General features: G+C 45.2%; 1 pseudogene; it reads right to left on the bottom strand.

Annotated features, from left to right (window-relative positions):
• Nucleotides 1–1,549: 1,549 nt before the first annotated feature.
• LOC644661 (importin subunit alpha-1-like) lies at nucleotides 1,550–3,567 on the bottom strand (annotated as a pseudogene).
• Between the last annotated feature and the right edge of the window lie 7,615 nt (nucleotides 3,568–11,182).

Below are 11,182 nucleotides of genomic sequence, written 5' to 3' on the forward strand. Positions count from 1 at the left end.
GTGTCATACTAGATGGTATCAAGCCTCGTTGCTGCCATTGTCTTGCTTTTCAAGATGTAGCTTGGGAGTCAGCTCTCTGGGGAAGCCTTCCCTTGCGTCCTCCAGTCTGACATGAGAACTTTCTTCCCATGTTCTGACAACACCTTGGTTTACCACCTCAAAGCCCTTACCACTCTGCGTTCTGATTACTAAAATTATTTCTGTCTGAATGTCCTCTAGCCCAGTGGTTCTGAACTGGGGGCAAGTTTGCCCCCTCAAGGGCTACTTCACAATGTCTGGAGGCATTTTGCTTGTCATAACTGGGTGAGGGGAGTTAGTGCTGATAACCATCTAACAGGACACAGGACAGCCCTCAACAGCAAAGAATTACCTAGCCAAACATGTTAATAGTGCTGAGTTTGAGAAACCTTGCTCTAGGTCAGCACTATTACTTTTGGTGACGATAGAAATGTTCTGTTATGTGTGCTGTCCAATACAGTAGCTGCTGACTGCCTGCAGCTACCATGCACTTCACAAGTGCAGATGAGGAGCTTTTTCTTTTTTTGAGACAGGGTCTCACTCTGTTGCCCAGGCTTGGAGTGCAGGGGTACGATCCCAGCCCCACTGCAGCCTCGACCTCCCAGGCTCAAGCGATCCTCCCAACTCAGCCTCCCAAGTAGCTGGGACTACAGGCACGTGCCACCATGCTTGACGTATTTTATTTTTATTTTTTGTAGAGATGGGGTCTCCCTGTGTAGCCCAGGCTCGTCTCAAACTTCTGGGCTCAAATAATCCTCCTGCCTCAGCCTCCCAGAGTGCTTTAATTTTTTTTATTTGTATTTAAGTTTAACTACAGTCATGTGTCACTTAACAATGACAACACATTATGAGAAATGCATCATTAGGTGATTTTTGTCATTGTGAGACCATCCTAGACTGTACTTAAACCTTGATAGTATAGCCTACTACACACTTAGACTATGCAGTGTAGCCTATCGCTACCAGGATACAAATCTGAGCAGCATATTACTGTACTGAACACTGTGAGCAACTGTAACACAATGGTAAGCATTTGTGCATCTGAACATATCTCAACCTAGAAAGGTACAGTAAAAATACAGTATCATCATCTTATGGAACCACTATCATATATGTGGTCCTTAACTGACGAAAACATCATTATGTGGAGTCTGACTGTCATTTGAATTTTTTTTTTTTTTTTCTGAAACAAGGTCTCGCTCTGTCACCCAGGCTGAAGTGCAGTGGCTTGATCTCGGCTCACTACAACCTCCACCTCCTGGGTTCAAGCAATTCTCCTACCTCAGCCTCCTGAGTAGCTGGGATTACAGGCACCTGCCACCATGCCTGGCTAAGTTTTGTATTTTTAGTAGAGACGAGGTTTCATCATGTTGGCCAGGCTGGTCTCAAACTCCTGACCTCAGGTGATCTGCCCGCCTCAGCCTCCCAAAGTGCTGGGATTACAGGCGTGAGCCACCACGCTTGGCCTTGTAATTTGAATTTAAATGAGCACTTGTGGCTAGTGGCTACAGTGCAGCTCAAGCCTCTCCTTTCTACTACTCCCAGAGGCCACTCCTGTCTCTCCGCAGCACTTGCTATAGCTACATTTTTACACTTGTGTGAGCATTTGATCGTTTATCCCCCTCAGTAGATTGGAAGTTTTCTGTGGGCAGGAAACATGCTAACTTGTTCACCTCTCTATTTTGTTTTTTGTTTTTTTCTTTTTTTCCGGGGGGTGGACTTTAGTCTTTATTTACAGGACACTGCGAGATATAAAATTCCACAAAGAAATAAGAAACCCATTCAGAGGACAAGCTTTATACGGTATTTACAGGTTGGAACTGTTCAAGTATAGTTTCAGTGTAAAAAGTGCTACAATACCAAACCATATTTAAAAAGAGTTCTTTGTAGAGAAACAGTACTTATACAAACATAGTAGAGAAACAAACTTATACCAAACATAGTACACAACAAATTTATGCCTCAGCTATGTGATCTACAAGTTAAAAGTTCCCAGGAGTCCCATCCTGAACTTGGAAGGTATAGCCTTCAGAGGTAGTTTCTGGCACCATGTTTTCATCTTCCTCTTCCTCTACAGAGAAATACTTAATTAAGCTTAACAAAGCCTTATACACACTCATTTTCATGATTTTGGAGAGCTTCAATTTTGTCTAAGCCTCCACATTCTTCAATCATTATACTAAGTTTCTCAGTTTCACCTAGTTTCTCAGCAGCCTGAAAGATACTTGAAATGGCATCCAGGATAACCAGAATAACCTTGGTATCTTTACAGTTAAGAAGTTCATCAATGGTTCTATTATGCCACAATGAATGAGCTACACAATCTGTTCAACTGTTTCGCCACTGGTATAGTTGGTCACGGCCCATACAGCTTCCTTTTGTGTCTTAAGATCTGACTTAGAACATTGGCAAGGAATAGGACTAATCCATGATTCACAACTTGCTGTATCTGGTCCTGACGGCCAGCTGTGATGTTTGACATTGTCCACATAGCTTCCTTCCAAGTGTTAGTTTTGGGGTCGGTGAGCAGGCTGGGAAAGACAGCAAGTGCCTCTGCATCGATCACAACCTGAGTCTGTTCACCTGTACCAGTGACAATATTCCCTATGGCTCTTAGTGCAGGAGTCACAATTGGCAATTCAGAAGCTCCTAGAAGCTTCACAAGTTGGGGCACAACTCCTGTTTCCATGACAATGTCAATTCATTCATTTGGACCATCAGTCAGGTAGGAAATAGCCCAGCAGGCATCTGCTAATAGTTCTGGATCATCATGATGCAGGAGCCGAACTCAGATAGGAAGAATTTCCTCAACAGCATCTAACCGGGGTGCAGGATTCTTGTTGCAGCAAAGATTTGAAAGTGTCCAGGTAAGATTACATAAGTAACCACATGCTAAAGATGACATATCAGGAACTGCAAGAAGAGCCAACAGTGGGTCAACGGCACTGTACTTAGTAATCAAGTCTCGGAAAACTGAGCTATATCACCTGCAATGTTTCCTGGAGCCGATACAACTTGTTCACTGATGTGAGCATGGGGAGATGCCAACAGAGAAATGAATGCTAGGATGGCACCTCCATCTACCACAACCTTGGCTTGTTCTGATTCCCAGAAGCAATGTTAGTGAGCATCCAGGCAGATTCAAACTGAATGGGACTACAATCAGTTCTGCCTAAGAAAGACACAAATTTTGGAATCAAACCAGCCCAGATTAAGTTGTCTTTGTGGGGCGGGGGGTGGTGGGGGGCGGGGGCGGGGCTGTTTTCCTCTAGAAAGTAGTTTCCTGGCAGCTTGAGTAGCTTGGAGCTAACTTTCCACATTGTTGCTATTTATGCCTTTGACAATGTCATCAACACACTAATTTACAGTGCCCTGATTGTTGTGGTTTTTCTGCAGCGGACAAGTAGCATCATCAGGAAATGAGCTTACATTTCTCCTCTTCAGCATCTGGTCATTCTTAGCTTTCCCCAGCTCCACATTGACTTCTATTCTGTGACACCTCATTTCTGTACTGTCTTTTCCCTTGTTCTTGAATCTGTTAAGTCGGGCAGCTGGCTTCACCTTTCTATTTCAGATGCCTAGTACAGGGCCTAGTACTAGATAGGTTCTCAGTATACATGTGTGAAATGAAAGCATAGCCAAAGGATGAATGGCAAGCCAGGGAGTATGTTAGTGAGAGTTCTCCAGAGAAACAGAAGAAATGGGATATTTTACATATACATATATGCACATAATATACGTATTTTATATATACTATACATATTTATATATATTACACACACACACACACACAAAGGGATTTATTTTAAGGAATTGGCCATGTGATTGTAGAGGCCGAGAAACCTCCAGATCTGCGGGGTGAGTTACCAAACTAGCAATGCGAGAGAGCTGATGGTGAGCTTCTAGGGGGAAGACTGACAGGCTTGGGACCCAGACAGAGCCATTGTGCAGTTTGAAGAAAGTACTTAGGTAGGAAGAAGTCTCTTTTACTTGGAGGAAGGAGAGCCTTTTGTTCTATTCAGGCCTTCAACTGATTGGATGAGGTCCATCCACATTAGGGAGGGCCACATCTGCTTGACTGAGTCTACAGATTTAAATGCTAATCTCATCCAAAAACACACTCTGAATAATGCTTGACAAAAGCACCCTGAATAATGTTTGACCAAATATCTGGGCACACCACGGCCCAGACAAGTTGACACAAAACTGACCATCACAGGGGGTGACAATTTTTCTTGCTGAGTTTGTGTTTAGGTAAAACTTTACTATAATTAGGCAAATAGTTTAAAGTTTTTTTTTCAAAGGACTTAGGGACCCTAAATTTGGGTGGGCTTAGCCCTGATCTCTTTCCCTGAAAGAGACAGGAAGGAGCAAAGAAACAGTGTAAATCTATCAACCCTGGTTCAGCCCGTGGTGTTCCTCATGGGACACTGAATTCCACAGTGGCTGCTGGGGTGATGGGCTGCCATGACCTACTCAGGTATAAAGTGGGAGTGAGAAGATCACCAGGGGCTGGGGACCATGTCCTTAAAATTCTGGACCATGAAACTCTTGGTCCCTGGTCATTTCTAGATATGGTCATTGCTAACCCTCAAATTGTTGTTTTGCATAAAAGCGAATGTGTTTTCATAAACAAGAGGGTTTGCTATTTCAAAAACTCAAAGACTCTGCCCTTCTAGCTCAGAAAGCTACCATCCTAAGTCCACCTCTGATGCTCATGCTCTTTATGCATGAGACCAAAGGACTGTGGCACACTCCTGCCACCTGGTGGCAACATATGAAAAGTCATGCAAAGGCTTAACCCTGAGGTTCTGATTTGGCCAAAACACAAGACAGAAAGAGCATGCTTGGAGACTTGCATTAGTGCAACAAAATTATAAGTTAATAGGACCATAAACCTGGAAAGAAAAGTAGTGATTACTGAGTTCAACTATCTCAGTTTCCAGATGAGGAAACTAAGGTTTAAAAATACTTTGTGACTCACTTAAAGATATTTCAGAGCCATGGCCTCATCTTCTCCCATCAAGTGCAATTTCTCCTTTAATCCACCTCTTTAAAAAATTTCCATACTTAGGGCAACTGAAGGCTTGATTAATTGGCAGAATGGTGAGCAATTAAATACAATTGTAAAATAAACCAAAGGGACTAATTTCTATTACGACTCCTGTTTTGTAATGAGCAAAGGTCTTTGTACATACACTTGCTCAGAAGTGACAGTTCTGCCAGAGATGGTTTGCAATGAACTTGCTCTTTCAGTTTGAACAGAGATAGACGTGCATCAGCAAAACCAAGTAAGTGATCACTCCTCTCTATAGGAATAGGATATCACCTTTTCATTTTCATGGATCAAATATGGACTAAATGTTGCTATGTTTTGCTAGCCGCTGTGCTAAGTGCTGGGAATACAATGAGGAGAAAACCAGAAGAGGTTTTTGCTTTCATGGAGCTCACAGTCTGATAGGGAAGACAGATGAGTTAAAATGCAACTACAGTTATGCATCACATAAGGACATTTGAGTCAGTGAGGGACTACGTATACAACAATGGTCCCATAAGATGATAATGGAGCTGAAAAAATCCTATCTAGTGATGGCATAGCTGTTGTAATGTCATTACACAAACGTTTGTGGTGATGTTGCTGTAAACAAATCTACCGTGCTGCCAGTCATATAAAAATGTACAGTAGCCGGGCGCCCTGGCTCACGCCTATAATCCCAGCACATTGGGAGGCCAAGGTGGGTGGATCCCTTGAGGCCAGAAGTTCGAGACCAGCCTGGCCAACATGGTGAAACCCCATCTCTACTAAAAATACAAAAATTTTCCAGGAGTGGTGGTGTACACCTGTAGTCCCGGCTACTCAGGAGGCTGAGGCACAAGAATCGCTTGAACCCGAGGGGGCAAAAATTGCAGTGAGCCGAGATTGTGCCACTGCACCGCAGCCTGGGCAACAGAGTGAGACTCTGTCTCAATAACAACAACAACAAAAGTATGGTAATATCCTAGGCTTTCACACTCACTCACCACTGACTCACCCAGAGTTGCAACTTCCAGTCCTGCAAACTTTATTTGTGGTAAGTTCCCTATACAGCTATACCATTTTTTATTTTTTATACCACATTTTTACTATACCTTTTCTATGCTTAGATAAGTTAGATGCATACATACTTACCATTGTGTTACAGTTACCTACAGTGTTCAGTACAGTAACATGCTATACAGGTTTGCAGCCTAGGAGCACTAGGCTAAACCATGTAGCCTAGGTGTATAGTAGGCTGTATCGTCTAGGTTTGTGTAAGTACACTCTAGGAAGTTTGCACAACAATGAAATCACATAATGACACATTTCTCAGAACGTGTCCCTGTGGTAAAACTATGCATGACTGTGCTGTGCAAGGTGGTAATGAAAACACTGTATGTGGGACTAGGGATAAGAGTTGAGCTAGGACTGGAGAAGACAGCTGTCAACAGAAACAGAATCAACCATAGTCCCTGGTACTAGACAGGGAGCAGTGTCTGATGGAGCCAAATTCCAAATGTGGTTGATTGTTCAGAAGTGACAATTCTGCCAGAGATGGTTTGCAATGAACTTGCACTTTCAATTTGAAACAGAGATGGATGTGCATCAGCAAAATCAAGGAAGTGATCACTCCTCTCTACAGGAATAGGATATCACCTTTTCATTTTCATGGGCCCAATATGGACTAAATATTGCTATGTTTTGCTAGCTGCTGTGTAAGGTGCTGGTGCAGACCAGCCAAGTATACAATGGCTGCACTGCCAGACTGGAGAGTCCAGTGGGAGTTGGCATCAAGAAGACCCATACAGCCCATTAGGCTGCTTGGCTATGGGGGGCTGGCCCCTGGCATGCCACGTGCTGGGTGTGGTAGTCACCAGAAATAGACAGAGGGGCAGAAGGAGGCAGTAGCAGAGGCTGGACCGCTGAGTCCCTGCTTGGGAAGCCCCACAGCCTGGCTGAGGAAGACAGTGTTCATGTACACCCTGCTTCTGTCGGGATTGGCCCAGGGACTTGCGCTAGGCTGAGCCAGCAGGGAGTGGGGCTGCCGGCACAGGCAGCCTCTGTGGTGAGGGCACCAGCAGGGCCCAGATGGAAACTCTGACCGTGGTGTTAATTCATTCCTCTGTGGTTTTCTGTTCAGGCAAATACCAGTCTCTTGTGGGTTTGTTTAGCTTAAAGCTATTGGCTGTTGGGGCTAAGGCTCTACATCCTTGATTTCCAAGTCCCTGATTGGCCAAGTTTAAAGGAAGGGATGATCAAGTTGTTGGCTACTGGGAAGGACATAAAGCTTCGGAGAGCAGTTGAGGAAACCCTACTAATTTCCCCCCGACCTGAGGTACAACCCGGCCTGGAAATGCATTCTGTCCTGCTCATAATACAACACAAGCGTGTGAGGTTTCAGGGTAGGCAGTGAGCCTGTGTCCTCTCACATGTCTAATGCAACATCTTCTTGGGGAGAATATTGACTCTTCCAAGTGGAAAGCTGGCCTGGAGCCTCCTAGGAAAGGTGGCAGATGGAGCTTGGTTGATTCATGATACCATAGCGTCTTGTCCGTTTGTTGGATTGAGTATCCCCTGAAGAACTTTCCACACCCAAACCTGCCCTGGGACATTCAGTTCAACCCTCTGCAGTGAACTTTGGCCCAAATAGCAAGAGATTTGCTTCCACCAGGGCTTGGCCACAGACCAGCCGTGTGACTCTGAGATAATTCTCACTCTGTGACTCAATTTCCTCAGCTACTCTTGAGATAATTTTCAACACCGAAAAGAACAACTATTGCTGTAGCCAGAAATAAAAACTAGATATTAGTTATGCTAGATATTAAATGCCATCCAAGAGACAGTAAATTTAAGGGCCCCAAAGTGGTTTCAGGTCTCTGAGAGGAATTTACTCCCCAGCTTTGGAGAAGAAGCTAAGTGCTGTCCTTCTATTTCTGTCCTGCATTCAAAAAGTCATAAATAGTTAACTGTGTGAGTCCTTTTTTAAAACCTCCCAGAAGCATCTAAAAATAGCCTCTGGGGGCTCAATGCATATTTCCTCAGGTCCTCCTCTTAATCTTTCAGTATAGGTGGTGACGATTTATTGTTACTGTCACCTATGGATTTACAGAAACAAAAGCAGCTAGGCTGGAAGGCAAAGAGAGGAAGCTTTTCGTGTGGGAAGGGTCTCTTGGGAAGTGGAACCTAGCATCAATACAGGGATGAGACATGTCACCTCTCCTTTCCTTGGTTTCCCTGCTAGTAAAAGGGGAGAGAAGGAGAAGTCTGTCTCCCCAGGGTGCAGTAAGAATCTACCCTCAAGTAGGAAGCTTCAACAGACAAAGCAGAACCTGCCAACAGCCAAATGCTATTATGACAAGTCAAGTCCACACTCATTACATGCCTTTGCAGTGCATGTCACCCCTGCCGTTTCCTATCTCCAGGCCCAAGTGGGGCCCCTTCTGCCAGTTTTCCAGCCCAGTGGCATGACCGGAGGCTGACTGTCCATCATGAGCTTGATGGACAAGGGACAGGAACAGCCAAGCCCAGCTCAGCTACCTGCCTGTTCTTTTCAACCATGCCTCTGCTTCCCTTATGCTTAACAGCAGCATATAGCACCCCTCTCTGACTCTCAGCCATCTCCTTCAGGCAGGCATCCTTGCAAACAGACCATCAGCCCAGGGCGCTCCTATGGACTTAGAAGGAAGGATAGGGCAGGAACATTCCTGGCGGCCTCCGTGGCCTTGGTCCTCTCTCCTAACAATGCACAGTAATTAGCTGCATCTCGGGCCCCCTGACACCCCTTAACCTGGAAAATCAGGCAGACTTGTGCGACAGCAATCAGCTCCCAGACACATCCAGCCGTAATGTGATTACGCCATTTACCAAAATGCAAAGAGAGATACTTGAGGCGTTTCTGATTAGGGCTGACATTATCCCTCTAATGGGACACCGCATTAATCAAAGCTGTTGCTATGACTATGGCGATGGTGGGGAAATAACCCCAGCTTGATTCTGGGCCTACCCAATGCCGCCAAGGAAGAGGTCAGCTTTTGTTAGGGACATAGCAGAAGAATTGCTTCTTCCTGCTTAAGAAGGGCTTTCTATTGAAATCGCACCAGCAGCCAGAAAGACAGGCCTCTGTTTTCTTTCATTACACTGGGATTTTCTGGTGCCATTGCTCAAGATGACTCGATAGCATTGTTCTGGGAGGGACTGGGATGTGCGTGTGTTGGGGGTGGGGATATGGAGGCTGATTTGTGGGGCTGTCAGAGCCTTCTGCTCTCCAGAACTGTATCTTAATTGCTGGGTGGCCCCCTGGGAATCATGTAGGGCATGAGAACCTGGGGGCGGGGGAGAAGGATGATCTGTGGAAAAGCCCAGCTTTTCCCATGGCATAAACACTCTGGGCTTCTGCTGCTTTCTCCATTCCAGAGCCACTAAAGCATTTGGCAGAGACAAGCCTGCACCACACACCCTATGACAAGGCAGATGGAAAAACAGGCGGGAATGAAATGGATCTGAAAAGCCTGTGTGGAAAACCCCCTGGCCTCTACTCCGGGCTGTGGAGAACCCATGAACTACAGGGGAGGGCAGGGGGAGACCAGGTGATGGGGGCTGGGGATGGGGTCATCAGAACCCCATGATGGCTAGATAGAGGTAAACTGTTCCAAACACCCAAGGCAGCCTTCGCTCCGGTGCAGATACTGAAAGGGAAATAGAGGTCAGTGATGTGGCATAGCTCCTCCCCCCAGGACAGGGATAGAGCAGTGGAGAAGAATCAAGGAATCTGGTTCTAGTTCAAGTCCTTTCTGGAATTTTCTCTGAGCTTGGTTTTCCCATCATCAGAGTGGGGTCAATGAAATCTACTCTGCTGTCCTCATAGAGGTGTAAAGGTCGGTCAGACCACTTCCTCTGGGGGAAAGTGATTTGTGAACTCTGGAGCACAGATATTCAAACTTGGCTGCATTTGGGAGTCACCTGAAGAGGTTTTTGAAGTTCTGAAGCCGGGGCCCCAGCATCAGACGTTCTGGTTTCATTGGTCAGAGAGGCGGCAGGGTGTGGGGATTTTTCAAAGCTCCAGGGGATCCTCATGCACAGCCCAGGTTGAGAATCACTGCTCACAAGTGCTGTAGGGAGCCGTGCCCTGCCTTTGAGCCTCATTTCCTATATTTTTTAATGAGAATAAAAATTTTTTAAAGTAAAAGGCTTTCATGGGAATAAAAGGAAAAAAAAATGTATGTGAAAATGCATAAAGTCGTATATCCTGGATTCCTAATTAATGTTCAGTTCCCTCATTAGAGGCCATTGCCTCTGTTTCAGGGGAGTCTCGTCCCCAGGGTGAGACCCTGGACAGCACCTTCCCTCTTAGCTGTGTGACTGTGTTCAACTGACTGAATAACAGCAAGCATTTACAGCACCTGAAGCCTTTCACATGCTTGATCTCACTTAATTATAGCAATAACCTGGGGAGGCGGGCAGAGATCATTGTTACCACCCTGTGAAGCAACATCATAGGTGACTCAGGCAGTCAGTGGTGGAGCTGGGATTTTAGCCCAAATTTGTCTTGTTCCGAAACCGGAGTTCTTTCCATGACCTCCTTGGTTAGAACTGACCTGAGTCAATTTTGTCATTCACTATGTAGATGTAAGAGGTCTTGGGGCCGTAGGTCTCTGCATGTTGTAATGAAAGCAGGTGTCAGATAGAATTCTGCGATACAGACTTTCATTTATTAGCAAAGCAGGTGCAAAAACAGGCATGTGGCTTGCTCTGTGAGCTCAATGACATCCTGAATCATTGTCCTTTTAGGTGCCCCAGTAGATCCTCGCATGAAAGCTTCACTCAGGGCAGAGGTGACATTTTTCAGCACCACGATTCAGCTAACCTTGTCATTGAGTCATGAGAAAAAAATTAGCTGATAATCAGTCTAACAAACACAGAATCCATTGGAGTCATAAACTTATGGCACTGTTCCATTTAATAAACACAGGGAGACAAGTCAGAAGGCTACCAGAACATTCTAGCCCAGAGTTGACAAAGGCCTTTCCCAATGGCTATGGAGAGGTAGGAAAGGGGTAGGATCATTCACTGAGTCAACCAAATATGTTGAGCACTGTACTAGTTTCCTATAACAAAGTACCAAAATGAAGTACCACAAAATCGGTGGCT

This window comes from Homo sapiens, chromosome 9 (genome assembly GCF_000001405.40).
Source record: "Homo sapiens chromosome 9, GRCh38.p14 Primary Assembly".
Lineage (NCBI taxonomy): Eukaryota > Metazoa > Chordata > Mammalia > Primates > Hominidae > Homo > Homo sapiens.